Source organism: Homo sapiens, chromosome 3 (genome assembly GCF_000001405.40).
Source record: "Homo sapiens chromosome 3, GRCh38.p14 Primary Assembly".
Taxonomy (NCBI): Eukaryota; Metazoa; Chordata; class Mammalia; order Primates; family Hominidae; genus Homo; species Homo sapiens.
The window spans coordinates 136,356,160-136,383,735 of NC_000003.12; the positions used below are offsets into that span (position 1 = coordinate 136,356,160).

The 27,576-nt window shown below is 37.9% G+C and overlaps 1 protein-coding gene across 8 annotated transcripts in view; it reads right to left on the reverse strand.

Moving 5' to 3' along the window:
- The window catches only part of STAG1 (STAG1 cohesin complex component), a 416,143-nt gene that overhangs the window by 19,924 nt on the left and 368,643 nt on the right, over nt 1-27,576 (reverse strand). For 7 of the 8 annotated variants that reach the window (NM_005862.3, XM_047447229.1, XM_047447228.1 and 4 more), the window contains 6 exons: nt 21,501-21,593; nt 12,949-13,123; nt 10,784-10,923; nt 7,207-7,308; nt 2,989-3,137; nt 1,561-1,689 (listed from right to left, as the gene is read on the reverse strand). In NM_005862.3, coding sequence (NP_005853.2) covers nt 1,561-1,689; nt 2,989-3,137; nt 7,207-7,308; nt 10,784-10,923; nt 12,949-13,123; nt 21,501-21,593 — 788 coding nt within the window. Of the gene's footprint in view, nt 1-1,560; nt 1,690-2,988; nt 3,138-7,206; nt 7,309-10,783; nt 10,924-12,948; nt 13,124-21,500; nt 21,594-27,576 lie in introns of those variants that run through there. The other variant, XR_001739978.2, reaches the window with a different exon arrangement.

Genomic DNA, 27,576 nt, shown 5'->3' on the forward strand with positions numbered 1-27,576 from the left:
GATTCCAGGTCGGAACCACTGAGCCTGGCCATCTGCCTGTTTATGCTGTGCCCCCTGGCATTAGAGCATAAGCTTTACAACAGTAGCTGACCATACTAGGGGCTTAATGAATATTTTCTGATCAACATGACATCAACATCTTTACTTAGAACTATCACTTATAGTCATATAAGTATTAACTGTCTCTCCAAAATTCTATTTATTTAGAATCCTGTTATATTTAAAAAATCGACTGATTGACACAGGCTCCCCAGGCTGTCACCCAGGCTGGAATGCAGTGGCATAATCATAGCTAAGTGCAGCCTCAAACTCCTGGGCTCAAGTGATTCTCCGACCTCAGCCTCCCAAGTAGCTGGGACTACAGGTACACACCACCACACCTGGCTAATTTTAAAATTTTTTTATAGAGATGGGGTCTTGCTACGTTGCCAGGACTGGTCTTGAACTCCTGGACTCAAGCAATCCTCCTGCTTCAGCCTCCTTACAGGCGTGAATCACTGCACCCAGCTAGAATATTATAAAGGACTCTCTGTCTTAACAGTTTATAAAATTTAGGATTCATTATAGTATTATCCTCTAAAAAAGTTTTTATTTTATTTTATTTTTTTATTGAGACGGAGTCTCGCTCTGTCACCCAGGCTGGAGTGGAGTGGCATGATCGCAGCTTACTGCAACCTCTGCCACTTGGGTTCAAGCGATTCTTGTGCATCAGCCTCCTGAGCAGCTGGGACTACAGGCATGCACCACCATGCCTAGCTAATTTTTTTTTATTTTTTTTAAATTTTTTATTTTATTTTATTTTTTTTGAGACAGAGTCTCGCTCTGTCACCCAGGCTGGAGTGCAGTGGTGCGATCTCGGCTCACTGCAAGCTCCGCCTCCCAGGTTCACGCCATCCTCCTGCCTCACCCTCCTGAGTAGCTGGGACTACAGGCACCCGCCACCACGCCCGGCTAATTTTTTTGTATTTTTAGTAGAGACGGGGTTTCACCGTGTTAGCCAGGATGGTCTTGATCTTCTGACCTTGTGATCCGCCCGTCTCGGCCTCCCAAAGTGCTGAGATTACAGGTGTGAGCCACCATGCCCAGCCTAGAAGTTTTCTGGTTTGGTTTTAAATAAAACTTACCCAATCAAGATTTTCTTTTGAAATTACATATATATTTCTTTAAACTGTTATCAATAATCAAAAAAAGCAAATATGAAAAAAATCAATCTTTTGAAACAAGTCAAATAGAATATAAAACTAAAATGAAATTAATATAAAAGGAAAGAAGGAAGAGTTACACAATGGCTAAACCAGTGTTTATACATCTTTGAACTGCATAATAAGAAATCATTTCCACCTGCTTAATTTCATGTTGCAGATTCTAGGGTACTAAAAGATAAGCAGTGAAATAACTACTACATAAATGCTTGAAGGAAAACTATAATTCCTTAAAACAAACTATCAGAGCCTAAATTATCAAGAGTAAAGATATCCAAATGATTAAAAATTTTTCAAAAAATAAACATTTACAACAGTATTATTATAAAAACCACTTCTCTTGTAATGTGCAACTTACACTGTCTTTTTGTCCTGTCGAAGAAGTTTAGAAGAAAATTCACTTAGTACTTCAAGAAAAGCCAGATTAGGAGGTGGATACTCTTGTCCTTTCTGATTTTGGTATTTAAATGCAAACTCTATGCCATCCCTGAAGTAAAAGAAAATATCAACTTATTTTTCCAGATAGTGTAATTCTCTCAATTAGCTAACATTACACAAATATTTGTGAAGGTAGTAAAATTATCACAAAAGGTAGTAAAATCTGATAAATTCAAATAATAAACTAATGTGAATATATAGGACATATTTGTGTATATTTATAGTATGAAACTGTAAGTTGGGGAAAATATACAAAAAATAGCTACAGAGCAACAAAGCTAAATTCGTATTTTTTTTTTTTTTTTTGAGACAAGGTCTCACTGTGTCGCCCAGGTTGGAGTGCAGTGGTGCTATCATGGCTCACTGCCTTGACTTCCTGGGCTTAGGTGATTCTCCCACCTCAGCCTCCCGAGTAGCTGGGACTACACGTGTGTGCCACCACACCTGGGTAATTTTTGCATTTTTTGTAGAGATGGGGTTTCGCCATATTGCCCAGGCTGGTCTCAAACTCCTGGGCTCAAGCAATTGGCCTCCTTTGGCCTCCCAAAGTGCTGGGATTACAGGCATGAGCTACCCGTGCCTGGCCCACTATGTGTAGTTTTTAGAGGTAAGAAGATACCCTGGACAGAGAATTATTAATACATTGCCAGAATATTTGCTTCTTAGAGCTGGTAATGGTACCAAGCTGTGTGAGTTTACTAAAGATTTTCTGTTACTTCTGTTTTCACAATAATGAAACCCAAATCAGTTTTGTATAGTCTTAACAAAAAATTCTATAATAATTATTTTTTCAGAGTCAGGTTCTCACTCTGTTTTCCAGGCTGGAGGGCAGTGGTACAATCATAGCTCACTATAACCTCAAACTCCCAGTCTTAAGTGATCCTCCTGGCTCAGCTTCCCAAGTAGCTAGGACTGCAGGCACATGCCACTATGCCTGGCTCATTTTTATTTTTTGCAGGAGACAGGGTCTTACTGCATTGCCCAGGCTAGTCTCGAACTCCTGGCCCCAAATGATCCTCCTGCTTTGGGCTCCCAAAGCACTGGGATTACAGGCGTGAACCACCACACCCAGCCTGTATAGTCTCTCAAACCCACTGTTTTCTTACTGACAGACCAGACAATAATATGTTATTAAATTTTGCTTTCCATACTTTGTAAGATGAACAAATGGGTGGTTTAAGTTTTTTCAAATTAAAAACATCCTCCCAGTTTAGAATCTCTAAACTAATCTCCAAAGTTCTTATAACTTAAAATTCTATCGTCACTTTAAAAATGGGTCATATAAGAGTTATTTCATTAAAATTCAAGTAAATCAGATTCTGCATAACAAAGTGTTTATCTCACTCACTTGTGAAGTGTGGCAACTGCTTCTCGTGTCTTAATCTGGTCCAATCCAAATGTAAGGGCAAAGCGACGTGCCAGTTCTTTAATGCCACTGACATGGGCAGATGTCCTATCTAGGTTGGGACCTTGCTCTTGAACAAGTTCATTAAATAACTGATAGAAAGAAAAAAAGAAGAAAAAACCTATAGCTCAGAATTTTAAACAGTTATTTTCAGAATAGGTAATTAAAAAATATGTAAAAGGTATAAGGTGAAATGTTTCTCTTCTTGCATTGAATTTTAGCTACTCTGTTCCCTTTCTACAAATTGTCTATTATTAATAGCTTGAGTTAATTTTCATGCTAGTGGTGTGATTAAATGCAGACAGAAATTTGTTTCTAATAATAATAAAAAAACACATTCTTTTATTGAGAGTCTCGCTCTGTCACCCAGGCTGGAGTGCAGTGGTGGGATCTCAGCTCACTGCAACCTCCACCTCCCGGGTTAAAGGAATTCTCACGCGTCAGCCTCCTGAGTAGCTGAGATAATAGGCGTGTACCACCATGCCCATCTAATTTTTAGCAGAGATCTTGGCCAAGCTGGTCTCAAACTCCTGTCCTCAAGTGATCCGCCTGCCCTGGGCTCCCAAAATGCTGGGATTACAGGCGTGAGCCACCACACGTGGCCAAAAGAATGTATTTTGAGATGGGAAAAGGAAATATATTTATAGAAGTACACTGTATATTTATAAACATCTATTCTTTTTGTTATTGTTTTTACAGGAATGACAATATATGAAATATAGGGTTAAGAGGTTTGTTTTTTCACTTATTATATTTCAAACAAGAACATTATATAAAAGAAGACCATTTACATACATGGTGCTATGATTTTTCCCACCCAGTAACAAAATATACCAAAAAGTTCTTAAGCTGGGTGGAGTTTTATAAATTGCATATCTGTTAGCTATTTCCTGTGAAAATAACAACAAAAACAGAACCCTGGAGGTAATATACAAGCAATTATCATTCCACTACCAAATCTAAAAACTTAATTTTATCTGTAGACATCTACCTTTCCTCCTGTTATGAGGGGTGAACTGTCCAGACTTTCACCTAAAGCCATTCCCTCCTATGTATTAGATAAGAAGGGAGTATGTAAGGTTTCGCCTGCTCAATAGTTTTGCTCTTGTGTTTACTGCTCTCTCCTGCCTCCTAAACTATTCCTTCTGTACTAGATGTATACATCTTAAAAATACTCTTAACTTCTTGACCCCATTTCCTCTGCCAGCTACTAACCCATTTCTCTGATTCCCTTTATAGCAAAGGTCCTGAAAAGTATTGTTGACATTTCTTTTCTTCAGTCTCTCACCTCCCAATCTCTCAATTTATTCTAATCACACCATTCACTGAAATAGCTCCTGGGTGCTAATATGTTCTGCACCTTTTTAGTTTTCTTCAGCAATAGATTGGCCTGAACTACTTGCTATGTCATTACTGAAGGAACAGTTCTTCCAGGGATTTCAAATTTATTCATAGATAATTGTTTATAAATTCTTTTTTTTTCCTGAGGAGTCTCGCTCTGTCACCCAGGCTGGAGTGCAATGGCATGATCTTGGCTCACTGCAAGCTCCACCTCCTGGGTTCATGTCATTCTCCTGCCTCAGCCTCCTGAGTAGCTGGGGCTACAGGCGCCCGCCACCACACCCAGCTAATTTTTTGTATTTTTAGTAGAGAGGGGGTTTCACCATGTTAGCCAGGATGGTCTCGATCTCCTGATCTTGTGATCTGCCCGCCTCAGCCTCCCAAAGTGCTGGGATTACAGGCTGTTTATAAATTCTTAAACTTTAAAATGTTTTCACATATTGGTATATACAATAGCCTTAAACTTTAAAACTTAAAGTGTACATTTAAAGTGAATACAAAGAATACATTTTGTTGTGAAAAATTCAAAGAATATCAAAGTAAAAGTTATTCTTTCTCTCTTCTACCAAATACCATTATTCTCTCCAAAGGTAACCAGTGTTTAAAGTCTGAAAGTTTTCTAGATCAGTGTAGACATATTACTTTTACAGCTAAAGTTTTTATTTTTACATAAATGGTAGCATACTGCATTTGTCCTGAAACTTGCTATTTTTCACTCAATATTTTGTCTTAAAAATCCTTTATCTAGCTCAGTTTATTTAACCATTCCCCTGTTGATAGACATTTAGACTATTTCCAGTTTGTTACTATTACAGAGACTGCTGCAATAAAACATCTTTTACATATATTTATTGGTACACACCTGTGCATATCCATGTAGATACCTAGAAGCAAAATTACTGGCTTAAAGGGAATATATATCTTCAATTTTGGAATATACTACAAAACTGTCTTCTAACAAGGCAGTTTTCAAAAGGGGCCTTTTCCTCTATATCTTTGTCAATCATTTTCATTCATGCCAATCTGTTGAGCAGTAAGTATCCATTTTAATTTGTATTTCATTAATAATAATTATTATTATTAGAAATGGGGTCTCACTCTGTCACCTAGGCTGGAAGGCAGAGGTGCAATCATAACTCACTGCAGCTTGGACCTCCCAGGCTCAAGCCATCCTGTCACTTTACCCTCCCGAGTAGCTGGGACTACGGGGTGCGTGCCAACACATCTGGCTATTTTTGTTTTTGTTTTTGGAGACGGGGTCTTGCCATGTTGCCCAGGCTGGTCTTGAATTCATGGGCTCAAGCAATCTGCCTGCCTTGGCCTCCCAAAGTGCTGGAATTACATGTGTGAGCCACTGTGCTTGGCTTTCATTAATTATTAATTACTTATGTTATATATAATTAATGCTTCTTTTCTTTCTTTTTTTTGAGACAGAGTTTTGCTCTTGTGGCCCAGGCTGGAGTGCAATGGCATGATCTTGGATACCTGCAACCCCCGCCTCCCAGGTCCAAATGATTGTCTTGCCTCAGCCTCCTGAGAGTAGCTGAGATTACAGGCACCCGCCACCACGCTTGGCTAATTTTTTGTATTTTTAGTAGAGATGGGGTTTCATCATGTTGACCAGGCTGGTCTCGAACTCCTGACCTCAGGTGATCTACCCGCCTCGGCCTCCCAAAGTGCTGGGATTACAGGTGTGAGCCACTGCGTCCAGCCTAATGCCTCTTCTCATGTTTACTGGTTTGTAAGATTCTTCCTTGGAAAAGTGCCTTTTTCATATCCCTCGCTCACTTTTCTATGGGATTTATTTATCTTTCCTACTGATCTGTAGGATTTGTTATGTAGGACTGAAAATATTTCCATCTGTCACTTTTTTTTTAACTTTGCTCAAAGTGCTGATTGATGTATACATCTATTTAATCTATTTAAATTTATACAGATTGGCTGGGGCAAGGTGGCTTATGTCTATAATCCCAGCACTTTGGGAGGCCGAGGTAGGTGGATCACTTGAGGCCGAGGAGTTTGAGACCAGCCTGGCCAACATGGTGAAACATCATCTCTGCAAAAAAAAAAAAAAAAAGAAAAAAAAAGAAAAAAGAAAAGAAATTTATACGGATCATCAATTATGAACTCTGTGACTTCTTTAGAAAGAGGATTTAAAAAATATCCTCTTATTTTCTTATAAACCCTTATTTTTGTCCTTTTATATATAAACCATCTAGTAGTTATTTTGGGTACACATTAGGTAGGACTATAAACAGCTATTTTTTTCAAATACACAGTCAGCTGACCCATCACCATTTATTGAATAGTCCCAATCCTTTTGCCACTGATATAAGACTTTTATCATAAACTAAATACAAACATATATATATTATGTATTTTTATATATGCACATATCACATATATATATCCACTAGGCCCCCTGAAATCATTTTAAATTACTAAGCATTTATTAGAAATCTTATTTACGCAACATGAAAAACATTTTCTTATCTCCTGGTGCCCTTCCTCATGAAATACTTTTTATATTTTTCTTCTTAAATTACTACTTTTTAAATTTCCAGTTTGACATTTCATCTAGTCCAAGAATAAATCACCTTAGGATTGCATCTATTTGAAATATGAACTCTAGGATTTTCTTCCAAAAGAAAAGACACCTAACCTATGTCTTTGTACCAGAAAATATCCACAGTAATGCACTGACAAAATGATATAAAATGACCTAGTTTAAATGAGATGAGATACCTAGCAAATATTAAGCACAGAGAAGTGCAATAATGTTATTTCCATTCTTTGTCTCCCTCTCTCCAAATTTCTTACCTGTTGCAAACTGAGAATGAGAGTCTTGGCACACTGAATTTTATCAATCTGCCTGGTTTTACTCAGTGTTTCCTTAATAATATCACCATAGTCATTGTAATACTGTGAGGGAAAGAAAGAAAACATGGCTTTAAAATTACTGACATTTCATGAGATAAAGAATAGGTTGGTGTCACCTCCTTTGAAAATGAAAAAAAAAAAAAAAGAACAGGTTGGTTGGTAAAAGAAAGGAAAGGTAAATAAAAAAGTGTTTTATTTCTTCATCTTAAACATAACAGGAGTTAAATAACTAAAGTTACAGGAATGCACATTTGATGTTTAAGATTATGAACTAATACTAGTAAAACCAAAAAAGCTGGGAATTCCAGGAAGAGAGGTGGTGAGAAAAATTCCCCATTCTTGTTTTTTCTTGTTTGATACAGGGTCTCACTCAAGCTGGAGTGCAGTGGTGTGATCGTAGCTCACTGCAGCCTTCAACTCTGGGCTCTGGTGATCCTCCCACCTCAGCCTCCTAAATAGCTGGGACTACAGGCATGTGCCACCACGCCTGGCTAATTTTTTTAAAAAATATTTTGTAGAGATGGGGTTTTTGCCATGTTGCCCAGGCTGGTCTTGAACTCCTGACCTCAAGTGAGCTACCCACCTCAGCCTCCCAAAATGCTGGGATTACAGGCGTGAGCCACTGCACCTGGCCTTCTCCATTCTTGTTTTTTGTTTTTGCTTTTATTTGTTTTTGAGATGAAGTCTCACTCTGTTGCCCAGGCTGGAGTGCAATGGCATGATCTCGGCTCACTACAACCTCTGCCTCCTGGGTTCAAGCAATTCTCCCACCTCAGCCTCCCAAGTAGATGGGACAACAGGTGTGTGCCACCATGATCGGGTAATTTTTATATTTTCAGTAGAGACAGGGTTTCACCATGTTGGCCAGGCTGGTCTTGAACTCCTGACCTCAAGTGATCCACCAGCCTCAGCCTCCAAAAGTGCTGGGATTACAGGCGTGAGCCACTGTGCCTGGCCCCATTCTTTATAACATGATTGAACAGACAACATCTAAAAGGTGACAGATCAAGAAATAGAATTTTGGTAGAAGCCTCCTGAAGAACTAAAACCAAAACAGTTAAAACTGCTTACTTCTGGGGGGTGGGCCTAAATAGGGGGAAGGGGGGATTAGGGTAACAGACTTAACTCTTCATTTAATACTTTGTGCACTATCTCATCCCTGTAACCCCCCCATCAACATGTCTATATTTTACTATCGAAATATAAAAAAGTAAAACACAGACATCTTCGACAGTGACTGGGAAAAGTTATAATTCAGTTTCTTGACACAAGATTTAAATAATTTTTTCTGTGAGTAAATAATCAAAAGGTTTCATTTAAAACCATTAAATCTGGACATTGTTTCCAAGCTAAAGTCTACAGCCTATGTGAAGAAGTGATTAATAATAGTTTGGCAATTAGATTTTCAAAATCTCAAAAAGATAGGTATGTTTCCATGATGTGAAATGCTAAAAGGCGAACAGCTCAAAAGGATCCTTTTAGTGCAAAGAAGAATTATCTCAATGAAGAGAAAAAGATAAATATCAAAACACTAAAGTACTGGAGCAGGCAGATTTCTTTTAAGTTCAGACTGAACCAATTATGTACAAAAATTGGAGGAAAAGCCACATAGCCATATATCAGAAGAGCAAATAGCTATTATAATACTCACAAAAAGGTTAGAGCCTATAGTGAATAGAAGTGTCCCTGAAATGCTAAGGATGATAAAAGTTCTGAATAAGACTCACTTTTTGGAACCAATGAAGTATTGTTAAAGGATTACCAGGAAAAACCAGAATTCAACATATTTCATGCCCTTTATTTCCTGCTAAAGAGAAAACTATATAAAAAGGGTAGGATAAACACTTATAAAATGGAACTGACATCCAGGTTTAGTGAAGAGATAATGAAAGCATCAAGTTGTTCCGAATTGAATTAGTTTCCTAGGCCAGATGAATCGTGTCTTAAGAAAATTTGTGGAGATTATGGAAACTTTGTGCTCTTTAAGAAATGGTGAAGAATAGGAAAGGTGCTAGAGGACAGAGAAAGATAATCATAGTTCTGATTTTCCAAAAGGAAAGAAGGTTATATGGAAAATTAACCCCTCCTCCACAAATGCCTGGGATCCACCCTAAATATTTTTCATTTAGGTTGAGTGGGACCCAGGAACATGTAATTTGGAATAAAGTTCCAGGTGACTGATGGAAAATCAGGATGAGGAATAACTTTTCTGAACAATACCATCGGTGAGCTTGATGCTGAGCCTAAGATTACAGAATACATTATTAAATTAAATGTAATGCCTGCGAATATTTGGAAAGTAAATGGTCACTGGAAGCAAGCAGAAGTTTGCTAACAGATCATGACATTTTCTTTTAGAAAGGTTCAACATGCAAATATCACAGTCTATTTGGGTATCAATAATTAGTTTGACAAGTTCTTTCATGATTTCTTTTTGGATTAAGTAGAGAAAAATGAGCTGAAACAGGTAGGCATATTTATGCTGCTGTCTTGGCAAGGGCTTGTCTTCCTTCCCATGCTCATCTAGTAAGCTCCTATTTATCCATGCAACTCTGTTTACACATTAGCTTTAGGAAGTCTTCTCTTGCTCCTCTCACTTAAGTCTCTCTCTATATTTGGTGTTAGGTTAGTAATTTATGCATCTATCACTACAATAATCATGCTGAAGCTTTGTGGTCTAGTGAAAAGAGCTAAGCTTTGAAGTTAGACAAGCCTAAAATAAAATCCCAGTTTCTGTTATTTTAATAGTTGTGTGTGACCTTGAAAGGTTTACCTCTCGAGCCTTAGTTTCCTTATATGTAAATGATGATACTATTTCTTACATCACAGGGGGATTAGAAAGATCAATGATAATGTGAAAGTCTTAGAACAGTGTCTCAAATATAAATGGCATGAACACATGGCAGTCATTCATTATCAGTATGCTACATTATATTATGTTTAGATGTTAGTTAACTCTTAATCTGTAAGCTCCTTAGTGCAGAAATCATGTCTTACTTAAACCTCTGGCTACCAGCACATTACTCAACACATTGCAGTTGTTCAGCATAATATGATAAATCAGCTACTATGCCATAATTGGAATTGGACTACACCCAAACATGAAGACACAAGTAGATCAAATGACACATACAATATTCTAAATAAAAGAGAACATTCTCTCTGACACAAGAACAAGGCAAATACAGGAAAACTGAGTATTCCCTCCCATCTGTGCCTGTCAGGCCACATCAAGAAGGTCTCTGAGCCCTGCTTTTTCAGAGAGTCAGGAACAAAATGGAGCTTATGAAAGTAGCTAGAAAGTATGTTCTTTCATATAAATGCTGGAACTCCTACTCAATGGAACTGATATAATAGTACAGACTGATAAAAAGCTTATATAAGAGAAACTTTATCATAAAATCATCCACATTACATAGGTGAAAAGCTGTCAATTTTAGCTTCTGTCATCATCCTTTCAATTGCTAATTTCTCTGCCAGTTAGAGGAAGGAGAAAAATAAGAATATTTAACTATACCTTCATGTAGTGTTTGAAGATGTCTGCAGCTGCATGCATGTCAACAATGTCATAAATGATAAGTTTGCTGAAAGCAGCAAGTAGATTCCTTCTTTTATGTAAGGCCTCAATTTTATTAGCTTCATCTTCTTCATCACCCTCTAAACACAGATTACAAATTGGTTATGAATTCTGGTACTTTATCCACGTAAAACAATGCAGATAATCTGTATAATTGAAAATTAGCTTAATATTATAACTTCACAAATAGTACAATTCAGTTTTAGATGGGACAAAAACTGTTACATTAATTATTTTAGGGTGCTGTATTTAGTTACTCATTTATCAAACATTTAATAGGTACTAAGGTTTCTGTCTTCTTAGGAGATTATCATAGTAAAGACTGAATAAGATAAGCAAACCATGTATAGTCTACCCTCCCTATCTGTGGATGCAGAACCCACAGATAGGGAGGGCTGATTATACTCTACCATTTTATTTAAGAGATTTGGGCATCCATGGATTTTGGTATGAGTGGGAGTCCTGGAATCAATCCCCCACAATACTGAGAGACAGCTGTATAAAGATTGGTTTTCTGATACTTGTGTCATAACAATACTGTGAAATTATCTGATTACCTTTAAAACGCTGTCTTTTCTTATTTCAATATTCCTTATGTGTTAATACATTCTCACTGAGAGAACACTTCTGAAAAATTTTAAGACACAAGGAAAAAGTTTTCTTTTAGAAAAATATTTAGGGAAGAAATTGAAATATGGATGAGTTAAATTTTCAGTGCTCATCCTAAACATGGTTACATTATCAACTGAGAAACAAAATATTTTGCATACCATGTTATGCACATATAAAAAATTTTTAAAGCCCTATCAAATACTTTCAAAACAAGTGTGTTTCTTCCTCAAATTTGTAAGTTCCAGACCCCACTGGGGTTTCTATTTCTAATCCTAGAAAAAACATGCCAACAAGACTCCAGATGATAACATTTGTTTCAGGCTCTGTACTGACCCTCCCGTGTCCTGGCCTGTCCTTATTTGGAATCAACCTTCTTTCTTCTCTCCCTTATATGTATAGATTCGCAAAAAGAACTTGCTGTCAGTCTCTTTCCTTTCTACTAATTAGTCTTATTGTGAAGCATCAGTGGTTTGAGAAGAACACATTTTTTTGCTTAAGACAAGTAGCAGGTAAATTTGTCTCCTGAGATGAATATAGACTCTAAATAAACATACTGTTTCACAGACTAGTATTTTCCAAAATGTTGTGAAAGAACAGCCGAACAGCATCAAATAGACTTGTGGATCAAATATACTTCTTATATTATTTTAGAGAGCTTAAATAATCTATTTCACAAATAATGTATTCTAAGTGAACTTATTTACAACTAATCATTAACAATTCAGTCTAATATTGCTAAGTTATCATTCTGCAGGCATAGCACAATTTTCACTAGTGAGGTTTGATAACAGTTTTTCAGCATTTAATATCAAACAGTTAGGTTTTGTTCATTTAAGTAATACATAATGACCACTTAGGAACAGAAAGGAACCTGGATACTTTCTTTTAGAAAAATTATGAACCTGGACATAGCCAATTAGAAACAACATCTATCCTACATACACATTTGTACATGTGGCAAATGACAAATGTACACTACTATTCATTACACCATAGTTTGTAATAGTTGAAGATTGGAAACTAGCCATATGTCAATCTGTGTGAGATGGATAATATGAATTATGCTATATCTACATAAAGAAATGCTGTGTAGCTGTTAGAGAAAGACAGAGCTCTCTATATAACGACAGGAAAAGATCTGAGGTACAGTATTAAAGGAGGGAGACTTCACTATGTACATTTTTATTCTTGTTGGTTTCTGAACTATATGAATGTATTACTATTAACTTTTTTTTAATTTATGTTTTTTCTGTTTTGTAGAGACAAGGTCTCGCCATATTGCCTAGGCTGCTCTCGAACTTCTGGGTTTGGAGCAATCCTCCTGCCTCAGTCTCCTAAAGTGCTAGGATTACTGGTGTCAGCCACTGCACCTGGCCAACTTTTTTAAAAGAAAGAAATCTCGATAATTTTTAGAACTGAATTTGTTTCTTTTCTCCTATCTTTTGGGGTTGGTAAAAAAAAATCAATATTGACAAGATGATAGCTACAAGTACCCATGCTCTGGTTCTCCTCGTCTTGGTCAATAAAAACGTGATCCATCACAAAACTGAGGAGTTCAGATTGGAGTCCAGTATCTGGATTGAACACCAAAGGCTGAAGGCCCTCTCTGCCACCTGTCATTAATTGGTGGCTGAAAATCATCAGAAGATCACAGAGTAACATGAAAGCCTGGAATACAAAGGCAATTTATCAGCAAAATATTACACAAATATAACTACAAGTCAACATTAATGAAAATGTATGAAATTAAAACATAGTTTAATAGCAGTACCATAATATAAATTTTCAGTATTTAAATTCCAAATATTGTTATAATTTCCAAATTTAATAAAATTATTTTTTCTCACTAAACAAGTGTCATATTTAAGACTTTTCCCAAATATAACCTATTTCTTTTACTTTGCTGTATCAACTCAAAAATAGCTCATTAAGATAGTTTGACTTGAACTTTTAAAAAATGAGTTTAAGCAAGGTGTTGATTACAGGTCAAAGAACAAAATGAGTTTAACCCAACTTTGCAAATACAAAATTGATAGATTATAACAAAGATTAGAAATCAATTGTATACTGCTTAATCAAATTAGCATAAAATTTGAAACTCTAATTCAACATAGTATAATGAATATTTCTAAAAATTCTAATGTTAAAAAATGTCAGTGTACTACTGCACAGTGATGTTTCCGTCAATAATGAACTGCATATACATGATGGTGGATCCCATAAGCTTGTAATGGAGCTGAAAAATTCCTATCACCTAGTGATGTAGTAACATAACCCTGTGGTGCAACACATTACTCACGAGTTTGTTGTGATGTTGTTTGTGGTGATGCTGGTGTATTATGCTGCCAGTCGTATAACAGTATAGCATATCTAACTTGTGTATAGAACCTAATGCTTGAGGATAATGAATGACTATGTTACTGGCGTATGTATTTACTATACTATACTATACTATACTATACTATACTATACTATACTATACTAATTTCTATTCTATACTTTTAATCATGATTTTAGAGTGTACTCCTACTTATGAAAAAAATTAACTGTGAAACATCCTCAGGCAGGTCCTTCAGGAGGTACTCCAGAAGAATGCATTATTATCATAGGATACGACAGCTCCATGCAAAATACTGCCACTGAAGACGTTCCAATGAGACATGTGGGAGGTGGAAGACACTGATACTGATAATTCTGACACTTTGTAGGCCTAGGCTAATGTATGTGTTTCTTTTTTTAATTTTATTATTATATTATTATTATACTTTAAGTTTTAGGGTACATGTGCACAACGTGCAGGTTTGTTACATAGGTATACATGTGCCATGTTGGTGTGCTGCACCCATTAACTCATCATTTAGCATTAGGTGTATCTCCTAATGCTATCCCTCACCACTCCCCCCACCCCACAACAGTCCCCAGTGTGTGATGTTCCCCTTCCTGTGTCCATGTGTTCTCATTGTTCAATTCCCACCTATGAGTGAGAACACGCAGTGTTTGGTTTTTTGTCCTTGTGATAGTTTGCTGAGAGTGATGGTTTCCAGCTTCATCCATGTCCCTACAAAGGACATGAACTCATCATTTTTTATGGCTGCATAGTATTCCATGGTGTATATGTGCCACATTTTCTTAATCTGGTCTATCATTGTTGGACATTTGGGTTGGTTCCAAGTCTTTGCTATTGTGAATAGTGCCGCAATAAACATACGTGTGCGTGTGTCTTTATAGCAGCATGATTTATAATCCTTTGGGTATATACCCAGTAATGGGATGGCTGAGTCAAATGGTATGTCTAGTTCTAGATTCCTGAGGAATCGCCACACTGACTTCCACAATGGTTGAACTAGTTTATAGTCCCACCAACAATGTAAGTGTTCCTATTTCTCCACATCCTCTCCAGCACCTGTTGTTTCCTGACTTTTTAATGATCGCCATTCTAACTGGTGTGAGATGGTATCTCATTGTGGTTTTGATTTGCATTTCTCTGATGGCCAGTGATGATGAGCATTTTTTCATGTGTTTTTTGGCTGCATAAATGTCTTCTTTTGAGAAGTGCCTGTTCATATCCTTTGTCCACTTTTTGATGTGGTTGTTTTTTTCTTGTAAATCTGTCTGAGTTCATTGTAGATTCTGGATATTAGCCCTTTGTCAGATAAGTAGGTTGCAAAAATTTTCTCCCATTCTGTAGGTTGCCTGTTCACTCTGATGGTAGTTTCTTTTGCTGTGCAGAAGCTCTTTAGTTTAATTAGATCCCATTTGTCAATTTTGGCTTTTGTTGCCATTGCTTTTGGTGTTTTAGACATGAAGTCCTTGCCTGTGCCTATGTCCTGAATGGTAATGCCTAGGTTTTCTTCTAGGGTTTTTATGGTTTTAGGTCTGACATGTAAGTCTTTAATCCATCTTGAATTAATATTTGTATAAGGTGTGAGGAAGGGATCTGGTTTCAGCTTTCTACATATGGCTAGCCAGTTTTCCCAGCACCATTTATTAAATAGGGAATCCTTTCCACATTGCTTGTTTTTCTCAGGTTTGTCAAAGATCAGATAGTTGTAGATATGCGGCATTATTTCTGAGGGCTCTGTTCTGTTCCATTGGTCTATATCTCTGTTTTGGTACCAGTACCATGCTGTTTTGGTTACTGTAGCCTTGTAGTATAGTTTGAAGTCAGGTAGCATGATGCCTCCAGCTTTGTTCTTTTGGCTTAGGATTGACTTGGCAATACAGGCTCTTTTTTGGTTCCATGTGAACTTTAAAGTAGTTTTTTCCAATTCTGTGAAGAAAGTCATTGGTAGCTTGATGGGGATGGCATTCAATCTATAAATTACCCTGGGCAGTACGGCCATTTTCACGATATTGATTCTTCCTACCCATGAGCATGGAATGTTCTTCCACTTGTTTGTATCCTCTTTTATTTCATTGAGCAGTGGTTTGTAGTTCTCCTTGAAGAGGTCCTTCACATCCCTTGTGAGTTGGATTCCTAGGTATTTTATTCTCTTTGAAGCAATTGTGAATGGGAGTTCACTCATGATTTGGCTGTCTGTTATTGGTGTATAAGAATGCTTGTGATGTTTGCACATTGATTTTGTATCCTGAGACTTTGCTGAAGCTGCTTATCAGCTTAAGGAGATTTTGGGCTGAGACGATGGGGTTTTCTAAATATACAATCATGTCATCTGCAAACAGGGACAATTTGACTTCCTCTTTTCCTAACTGAATGCCCTTTATTTCCTTCTCCTGCCTGACTGCCCGGACCAGAACTTCCAACACTATACTGAATAGGAGTGGTGAGAGAGGGCATCCCTGTCTTGTGCCAGTTTTCAAAGGGAATGCTTCCAGTTTTTGTCCATCCAGTATGATATTGACTGTGGGTTTGTCATAGATAGCTCTTATTATTTTGAGACACGTCCCATCAATACCTAATTTATTGAGAGTTTTTAGTATGAAGGTTGTTGAATTTTGTCAAAGGCCTTTAATGCATCTATTGAGATAATCATGTCGTTTTTGTCTTTGGTTCTGTTTATATGCTGGATTACGTTTATTGATTTTCCTATGTTGAACCAGCCTTGCATCCCAGGAATGAAGCCCACTTGATCATGGTGGATAAGCTTTTTGATGTGCTGCTGGATTCAGTTTTCCAGTATTTTATTGAGCATTTTTGCATCAATGTTCATCAGGGATATTGGTCTAAAATTCTCTTTTTTTGTTGTGTCTCCGCCAGGCTTTGGTATCAGGATGCTGCTGGCCTCATAAAATGAGTTAGGGAGGATTCCCTCTTTTTCTATTGATTGGAATAGTTTCAGAAGGAATGGTACCAGCTCCTCCTTGTACCTCTGGTAGAATTCGGCTGTGAATCCATCTGGTCCTGGACTTTTTTTGGTTGGTAAGCTATTAATTATTGCCTCAATTTCAGAGCCTGTTATTGGTCTATTCAGAGATTCAACTTCTTCTTGGTTTAGTGTTGGGAGGGTGTATGTGTCGAGGAATTTATCCATTTCTTCTAGATTTTCTAGTTTATTTGCATAGAGGTGTTTATAGTATTCTCTAATGGTAGTTTGTATTTCTGTAGGATCGGTGGTGATATCCCCTTTGTCATTTTTTATTGCGTCTATTTGATTCTTCTCTCTTTTCTTCTTTATTAGTCTTGCTAGTGGTCTATCAATTTTGTTGATTTTTTCAAAAAACCAGCTCCTGGATTCATTGATTTTTTGAAGGGTTTTTTGTGTCTCTATTTCCTTCAGTTCTGCTCTGATCTTAGTTATTTCTTGCCGTCTGCTAGCTTTTGAATGTGCTTGCTCTTGTTTCTCTAGTTCTTTTAATTGTGATGTTACGGTGTCAATTTTAGATCTTTCCGGCTTTCTCTTGTGGGCATTTAGGGCTATAAATTTCCCTCTACACACTGCTTTGAATGTGTCCCAGAGATTCTGGTATGTTGTGTCTTTGTTCTCGTTGGTTTCAAAGAACATCTTTATTTCTGCCTTCATTTCATTATGTACCCAGTAGTCATTCAGGAGCAGGTTGTTCGGTTTCCATGCAGTTGAGCGGTTTTGAGTGAGTTTCTTAATCCTGAGTTCTAGTTTGATTGCACTGTGGTCTGAGAGACAGTTTGTTATAATTTCTGTTCTTTTACATTTGCTGAGGATTGCTTTACTTCCAACTATGTGGTCAATTTTGGAATAGGTGTGGTGCTGAAAAGAATGTATATTCTGTTGATTTGGGGTGGAGAGTTCTGTAGATGTTTATTAGGTCTGCTTGGTGCAGAGTTGAGTTCAATTCCTGGATATCCTTTTTAACTTTCTGTCTTGATCTGTCTAATATTGACAGTGGGGTGTTAAAGTCTCCCATTATTATTGTGTGGGAGTCTAAGTCTCTTTGTAGGTCACTAAGGACTTGCTTTATGAATCTGGGTGCTCCTGTGTTGGGTGCATATATATTTAGGATACTTAGCTCTTCTTGTTGAATTGATCCCTTTACCATTATGTAATGGCCTTCTTTGTCCCTTTTGATCTTTGTTGGTTTAAAGTCTGTTTCATCCGAGACTAGGATTGCAACCCCTGCCTTTTTTTGTTTTCCATTTGCTTGGTAGATCTTCCTCCATCCCTTAATTTTGAGCCTATGTGTGTGCCTGCATGTGAGATGGGTTTCCTGGATACAGCACACTGTATTTATTCAAAAATAAATAGAAAAAAGCTTCTAGAATAAAGATATAAGAAAAAAATATTTTGGCCAGGCACGGTGGCTCACAGTTGTAATCCTAGCATTTTGGGAGGCCAAGGTGGGAGGATCACCTGAGGTTGGGAATTCGAGACCAGCCTGACCAACATGGAGAAATCCCATCTCTACTAAAAATACAAAATTAGCCAGGTGTGGTGGTGCACGCCTGTAATTCCAGCTACTAGGGAGGCTGAGGCAGGAGAATTGCTTGAACCTGGGAGGTGGAGGTTGGGGTGACCCGAGAATGTGCCACTGCACTCCAGCCTGGGCAACAAGAGCAAAACTCCGTCTCAAAAAAAAAAAATTTTTTTTTTTGTACAGCTGTTTAATGTGTTTGTGTGTTAGGTATTATTACAAAAGAGTTTAAAAGTTAAAAAAATTAAAAAGTTTACAAAGAAAAAGAATTATAGTATGATAAGGTTAATTTATTATTGAAGAAAGAAAAACATTTTAATTAATTTAGTATAGTCTAAGTGTATGGTACATATAGAGTCTACAGTGATGTATAGTAATGTCTTAGGCCTTCCTATTCACTCACCAATCACTCATTCACTCACTCAGAGCTACTTCCATTCTTATGGTAAGTATACCATTTTTAAATCTTTTATACTGTATTTTAGATATGTTTAGATATATAAATACCAGTTGTATTATAATTATCTATACTACTCAGTATAGTATTATACAGTACAGGATCATAGCCTAAGAGGAATAGGCCATACCATAGAGCATAGGCATGTGGTAGGCAATACCATTTGTTTGTGTAAATATACTCTTATGATGGTCATACAATGATGAAATTGCCTAACAACACATTTCTCACAATGTATCCTTGTTGTTAAGTGGTGCATGACTGTATTAGAAAACCATTCATATAAAAACCAGTATCTAATAAAGCCTCCAAACAAATTTAATTATATAGAGACTTTGAATACATTTGTACACATTATAGGTATGCTGCCAAATTTGCCCTATTTAATGGATTGAGTGAAATAAATGGGTCTGATCAGTTTATTACAATAGAAAGATTTTGTTGTGGGATAATTGAGGGCTCTGAAACTTCCAAACAATCCACTAACACTGCCCCCTCCAAAGTTGACTTCTATGGGAAAACATAATTTTGGCATTTAGTTTGGGATAACTGTATATCTGGTTGTCCAACTGCAGCAAGAGTCTTGGCAGTTTATGCCCTGACAGCACAACCATGAAATATACTCAGGTATTTAGAAAGAGCCATTTGAAAAAAAGGCAGCATACAGAGAATCCACAGGGAATACTTTTTAACCAGCAGGCCATAGTTTTGGACATCACCAAGCAGGTCTGATGCAGAAACACTGGATTTGGGGTTTAAATGGCAGAGCTGGGCCAGGTGCAGTGGCTCACACCTGTAATCCCAGTACTTTGGGAGGCTGAGGCAGGCAGATCATGAGGTCAGGAGTTTGAGACCAGCCTGGCCAACACAGTGAAACCCATATCTACTAAAAATACAAAAAAATTAGCCAGGCGTAGTGGTGGGCACCTGTAATCCCAGATACTTGGGAGGCTGAGACAGGGAATTGCTTGAACTCAGGAGGTGGAGGTTGCAGTGAGCCGAGATCACGCCACTGCACACCAGCCCGGGCAACAGTGGGAGACTCCGTCTCAAAATAAATAAATAAATAAATAAATAAATAAATAAATAAATAATTAACAAAATAAAATAAAATAAAATAAAATAAAATAAAACAAAATAAAATAAATGGCAGAGCTGGGTATTTCTCCATAAGTAGTGTTCTGAAGATTTAAAGAATAAGGTTTAGGGAAGACCATCTCTGTTTCCATTTTAAGTTAAATGCTGATAACTCAATAAAGATACTTGTCACTATTTATAAGAGACAGCAAAGGATAAGTAATACTGTACTCTTTCACCAAACGACTCTAGCCCAATATCAAAATAAGAAATAGTATGGAAAATATACATTTTGTTTTACACAAATGTACTCCCCAATACAACAGTCTATTTTAAAAAATAGTTTACAAAATCATATCATGGAAACAGTACTTCCCTGGCCCACCCTGACCCCCACCCTGACCCTCTTTGGGCTGTGCCCCTCTACAAGAGATGAGGAATCTATCAGACCAATGGGATATGCCCACCTGCTTACCAAACCCCACTTCTACACCATTGTCCAAGTATAGGGACTCAGAAACTCCTTGCCCTACAGTCCTGATCCTGTTGTCTGAGCCTGCAAAGGCCTCTTCTCTAGGCATACTGCATACCCAATGTACATATTACTAGGCCCCTGGGTGGTGAATGGGCAGCTGTTTGGGCGGGTGGTATTGACAAGAGTTTCAAGATGTGGGGCTAAAGTGTTGGCATGCATGTGTGAGAAACTTAACTGGTGTGGGAAGGAGCTGAAGGTAAGATGATAAAAGGGTATGTCATATGTCAGCTCCCCAGACCCTCAATATTCTGGTGTAGAATTCTTTTTTTTAATCTTTTTTGAGAGAGTTTTGCTCTTTCTGCCCAGGCTGGAGTGCAATGGCGCGATCTTGGCTCACTGCAACCTCTGTCTCCCGGGTTCATGCGATTCTCCTGCCTCAGTCTCCCAAGTAGCTGGGATTACAGGCGCCTGCCACCATGCCCGGCTAATTTTTTTTTGTATTTTTAGTACAGACGGGGTTGACAGTCTCGATCTCTTGACCTTGTGATCTGCCCACCTCGGCCTCCCAAAGTGCTGGGATTACAGGCGTGAGCCACTGCGCCCGGCCATTCTGGTGTCAATTCTTAGGAGTCAAAAAGTCTACATTTCGGCCGGGCACGGTGGCTCACGCCTGTAATCTCAGCACTTTGGGAGGCTGAGGCGGGCTGATCACGAGGTCAGGAGATCGAGACCATGGTGAAACCCCGTCTCTACTAAAAATACAAAAAATTAGCTGGGCGCAGTGGCGGGTGCCTGTAGTCCCAGCTACTCGGGAGGCTGAGGCAGGAGAATGGCGTGAACCCGGGAGGCGGAGCTTGCAGTGAGCCGAGATTGCGCCACTGCACTCCAGCCTGGGCGACAGAGCGAGACTCTGTCTCAAAAAAAAAAAAAAAAAAAGTCTACATTTCAACCTGCCCTTCCAGCTGATGACAGTATACTTGTGAAAGTAAAAGGAAAGAATGTATATTATATAATAAGTTTGTTAGCTTGCTTTATAACATAAATTCACACATCTACAGTCTTGTTCCAGGTCCAGTAAATGTTAGGAATGAACATGTGTACAAAAACTGCCATAAAAAATTGTATCTTCTTAATGTTCATTAATGTATTTGAGTTGATTTTATTGAGAGCTCTTACTGATAATTTCTTACCTGTTCTTTCACTGGAGTATTAACATTAGACAGGCACTGCTGGCAAACAGCCAAAAAGGATTTCACCGTTTTCCTCAATACCAACAAATCCTCCTGTAAGACACATTCAAATTTGCAAGCGTGAATTACAGGATCACAGAAAACTGATCTAGAAGAAACAGTAAGTGGAAAATAGCAAAACTGGTTTATTCTCAAGGAAATTCATATAACCAAATTTAATGTTGGGAACCATTTAATGTAGTCATTTCTTAGTTATCTGTCCTAATAGAAGGGGTAGTGACACTGACACTCTAAAACAGTTATAGTTAGCTATGGAATACTCAGTATGATTGTTTTCAACAGATTTCCTTTATAAATATGGTTTATTTAGGTTGATTAAAATTGCTAGTCATTCCTGTGACACACATTACTGCTAGTAAAGTGAGGCAGCAGAGCAGCACACTGAAAAAACTCAATTAGGCAACAAATGTGTACTGAATTTATCTTATATCTCAGCACTCTGCAAAATGTCAGGGGAAGAAAGATAAATTTAAGACAGTGCCATGCCCTCAAATAGTTAACATTCTAGCAGACAGGCCAATTACGGAGATGAAGTGTTCAGTTATTGTATTAACTCTTAACTGCAGCAAAGTTGGAGAAATCTTCATAGGAGGATGGGCTTTAATCTAAGGTTGGATGGGTAAATAGATTTAATTAGATGGCCAGATAAGATTCCATAAGGAACATTTGAAAAGTCCAAAAGGAAATTTCAAGTTGAGTGCAGTGGCTCATGCCTGCAATCCCAGTGCTTTGGGAGGCCCAGGTTTGAGAGGATTGCTTGAATCCAAGAGTTGGAGACCAGCGTGGGCAACACAGAAAATTAGCCGCGCATGGTGGAGCATGCCTGTAGTCCGAGTTACTGGGGATGCTGAGGCAGGAAGATCACTTGAGCCCATGGGATCAAGGCTGAAGTGAGACATAATTGTGCCACTGCATTCCAGCCTGGGTGACAGAGCAAGACCCTGGCTTAAAATATTTTAAATTTATCGAGTGCTTACAACCCACCAGGCACTGGTTTAAGGGCTTACTATTATATAGTTTAACATTTACATTGATCCTAAGAAACAGTAATTATTAGCGAGGGGTTGAAACTAGGACTATCTGATATAAGAGCTCATATTCTTCTCACTGACTAATGAGTAAGACACATGCAGATACCAACATTTAAAACAGTAATGCAGACTAATTACCTGAGCAAAGGCTAATATAGAAACACTTAAAAAGTACTCAACTAAAACTCTTTAAGCCACTCTATTTTATACAGATGACAGCACTTAGTCTTTTTGGGGATCTTTACATCCCAAATAATGATACTTCAAAAATTACACACATATTTTCTTTTGCTAACATGAGTATAGTATGTGGAAGAAGGAGCGAGTTCATCTTGTGGAGAGAAGTAAAAAGGACACCCTCTTGAGAACTTTTCATGTTTCTGCAGATAAATATCTAATAACTAAACTTCAACATTCCTGAAACTTTAATTTTAAACATTCAAAATACACTGAGGGAAACAGATAAGAGAACAGGCAACTGCAATATAGTGTAAGGAGTGCTATGGTAGGAGAAAACATGGGCCCCATGTTGGAAAATCTTAACTCAGAGTCAAAAGTAGTCATGGAAGAGTTCCCAAAGAAGATAACATGTAAGCTGAGTCCTGAAGGAGAAAAATAATCTAGCTACAGAAAAAGGTATTCCAGTTAAGGCACAGATATTCAAAAAAGCAGAGGTGGCTGGGTGCGGTGGCTCACGCCTGTAATCCCAGCACTTTGGGAGGCTGAGACGGCCAGATCACCTGAGGTCAGGAGTTCGAGACCAGCCTGGCCAACATGATGAAACCCCGTCTCTATTAAAAATAGAAAAATTAGCCGCGTGTGGTGGTGCATGCCTGTAATCCCAGCTACTCGGGAGGCTGAGGCAGGAGAATGGCTTGAATCTGGGAGGCAGAGGTTGCAGTGAGCCGAGACTGCGCCACTGCACCCCAGCCCGGTCAATAGAGCAAGACTCTATCTCAACAACAACAAAAAAGTGCAGAGGTGCTTTTGAGGAACTGTTAATTTATTGTAGCTGGGGTATAAATAGGGAAGACAGCAGCAAGAAAAAAAGCTAAAGAAGAATAAAACCATTTGCATTTACATAGAAGACCATTTAAAATATCACGTTAAATCATTTGAATATTGTCCTGCTGGCAATGAGGAACTACTGAAGAAGGATTTTTAGCATAAGAGTGCTAAAATTTTGTGTAAATGAATCATATTCTAAACACAATGGAGAATGATGTGGAATAGGCCAGTTAGAGTAGTCACATCTTTCGTTGAGAGCTGATATGTACCACATACTGTGTTCCCAGAACTATAAATTTACATTTCACCATCACCCTACAAAGTAAATGGTAATATTCCTATTTTACAGACAAGAAAACTGATACTCACAGCACCCATAGATGCTAAGTGACAGAGCAAGGATTCAAACGTGGGGCTGTCTGACTCTAAAGTCCATGTTCTTAATCATTACTGTGTATTTTATTGCATATTAACAAAGGCCATAGGATTTTTTTTTTTTTTGAGACGGAGTCTCACTCTGTCACCCAGGCTGGAGTGCAGTGGTGCGATCTTGGCCCACTGCAGCCTCTGTCTCCCGGGTTCAAGCAATTCTGCTGCCTCAGCCTCCTGAGTAGCTGGGACTACAGGTGTGTGCTGCCATACCTGGCTAATTTTTGTATTTTTAGTAGATACGGGTTTTCACCATGTTGGCCAAGATGGTCTTGATCTCCTGACCTCGTGATCCGCCAGTCTCAGCCTCACTAAGTGCTAGGATTACAGGCGTGAGCCACCGTGCCCAGCCAGGGATAATTTAGAATGAGGGCCTGAAAATAATATATTGGCTCTAAAGATATGGATAGATGAAAGATAAAGCAGTAGAACTGATAGAATTTAGGGAGCAATCGGGTAGAGCCTGTTGATGATTACTCCTTAATTTCTAGGGAGCTGCCTACTAGAGGAATTGTGGTATTAAGTCATCAAGATAAAAAACACAGGAACAGGCCAGGCATGATGGCTCACGCCTGTAATCCGAGCACTTTGGGAGGCTGAGGTTGGCGGATCATCTGAGGTCAGGAGTTCAAGACCAGCCTGGGCAACATGATGAAATCCAGTCTCTACTAAAAATACAAAAATGAGCCGGGCGTGGTGGTGGGTGCCTGTAATCCCAACTACTCAGGAAGCTGAGGCAAGAGAATCGCTTGAACCCAGGAGGTGGAGGTTGCAGTGAGCTGAGATTGATTGTGCCACTGCACTCCAGCCTGGGAGACAGAGTAAGACCCTGTCTCGAAAAAAAAAAAAGAAAAAAAAAAAAAAAGAAACATAGGAACAAATGCAGTTAGTAATAGTTAAATTTTAGAGATGATGATTTTGAGATCCCTAATAGATATCTTGAAGATGTCTAGTAGGCAGCTGCGTATGTGAGTTCAAAGCCTAAGAGAAAGAAGTAAACAAGGATTTGGGAGTCTTCAGCATTTAGATAGCAACAGATGTGTCAGAAGTGGATGAGACTGCTCAAGGAGAATACACAGAGAAAGGTGACAGCAAGTATCCTGGGAAATACCAATATTTGAAAGATGAATGACAAAGAAGAGCTTATGAAGAAATCTAAGAAATTATTTGAGAAGTAGAAATAAAACCAGGGGAATATGATATCCCGGAGGTAAGAAAACATTAAAAAAATGAATAATTAACAATGACAAATGCCACAGAGAGATTAGAGATAAGTATTAAAAGTGCCAGGGATATAGCAATTATGAAGCTGTGGGTAACCTTGGGGAGAGCACTTTCAATGGAGTTATGAGTGCTGAATCAGACTGCAGTAAGCTGAAAGGAAGATAAGGAAGAAGTCAACTCTTTCAAAAAAGTATGATTATAAAGAGTCAGTGAAAAATAGGATGGGGCTGATAGAAGTCTTTTAAGGTTGATGGATTTTTTTTTGGTCATTCTTGACCTTTTTAATAGAAAAGATGTGAGAATGTTTGCTGAATGAAAAGTAACTAAAAGAACAAAAAGCAAGCAATGCTATTAACTAGCTATATGATCTCAGAAAAATTATTTTACATCTCAGGATTAAAGATTTTTAAAATCTATAAACAAGAGAGTTGAACTAGGTATTCTAAGGTTCTATGTTACTCTGATTCTGCTAAATTAACTCTATGAAACTCAAATGAGAACAGATAGCTGTCAACTTGTAAACCTTCCAGTATTCAAAGGAACACTGTTCCACTGTTAGTACCTAAAATAGTGCTTTGCATATAGTAGATATTTAATAAATAGTTACTCAATGAAATGTTGGTATACTTAATATGGATGTTTACCACAATCCTGGGGGCAACTTATAATGTGTTAATTTCATCAAACAATAAATAATTATTGGGTTTTTAAGAAATGATGCTAGGAGTTACTAATGTTCCTTTACTCCCTCAGATTTCTTGATTAGTATGTAAGAAAGTCTAGGGAATCAGCCATCTTAGGAGTTGGAGGCAAAGGATTCCTTTATAAAGGCTGAACACAAAGCAAATGTGTCTTATGTAAAATGATTACTTCCCAAAACATCTAAAGAGTAGTACATTTAATACCACAAATAAGTAAGCAATCAACTGATGAACTAATTAACAGTAGTATTTTAAGAGACACTGGAAATGTGAAACAACCAAGGCTTTCTTTTTTTTTTTTTTTTTTGAGACAGAGTTTTGCTTTTATCGCCCAGGCTGGAGTGCAGTGGCGCTATCTCGGCTCATTGCAACCTCTGCCTCCTGGGTTCAAGCGATTCTCCTACCTCAGCCTCCCAAAAAGCTGGGATTACAGGTGCCCACTGCCACGCCCAGCTACTATTTTTTTTCTTGTATTTTTAGTAGAGACAGGGTTTCGCCATGTTGACCAGGCTGGTCTCGAACTCCTGACCTTAGGTGATCTACCCGTCTTGGCCTCCCAAAGTGCTGGGATTAGAGGCATGAGCCACCACGCCTGGCCAGGCTTTCTTTATTGTTATTATTTTTTCCCAATGGGGATGGACTAAAGACCTTCTTTAGCAATAAAGTTTGGCCTAGATTTGGATGCAAACTAAATATTATTTGAGTGCTCAAGAAAGTTAATTTAATTGTAACTATATTCCACTGAGAGAATTATACATACTGACAGATTTGGGTAAATAAGCACAGATATTGTATACTTAACAAAGTTAGTTAATCTCTTATAGTAAATCCTTTGAACAGTTGGGAAGATAATTTAGGTTCCTGAAAATTTCAGAACTCAGTGCTTTTATTCATCCACTTCATGATGTTGGCCTGTTACTATACTTCATTTCATTTAAGTAGTGGGAATTATGATTCCCAAGACTGTGATTTTGCTCAAGTTGAGGAAGGCTGCCATTACTGGGTCATGTGATAGTAAGTATCTATACATTTTCAGGGTGTTACATCAAGATTTTGAAATTAGTTCAGGATTTGCCAATTTAAGACTCCAATAGTAAGAAAACAAAGAAGTCTCATAGAGTTAGCTTTACTCTTAATGCCCCTTAAAGAACAATAGATAATATTCAAGAGAAAAAGAAAAAGAAATATAAAAAGATTTGGAATAGGGCAAATTATAAGAGCTTGCTCTAAATAGGTGAAAATTAGCACACTTACTATGAATTCTTTTAAAATATATCACTGACTGCTTTTTAATTTGAAAAAAGTTACATTCCTCATATTATGGATACTGTCACTTCTCATCTGCTATAATAGCTGTAATTCATTATGAAAAAAAGTAAATATGCTTAACTTACTTCATTTTATCTGGGCCAGAATACAATAATAATAAAAGTTAACATTTATCCACACTTACTACTTGCCAGGCACTAATCTAAATTTTTCACAGATTAACAACTGATCCTTACAACTGTGATAGGTATTGGTATTATCACCCCCACTTTATGTATAAAGAAACAGGCACGGCCAGGCGCGGTGGCTCACGCCTGTAATCCCAGCACTTTGGGAGGCCGAGGTGGGCGGATC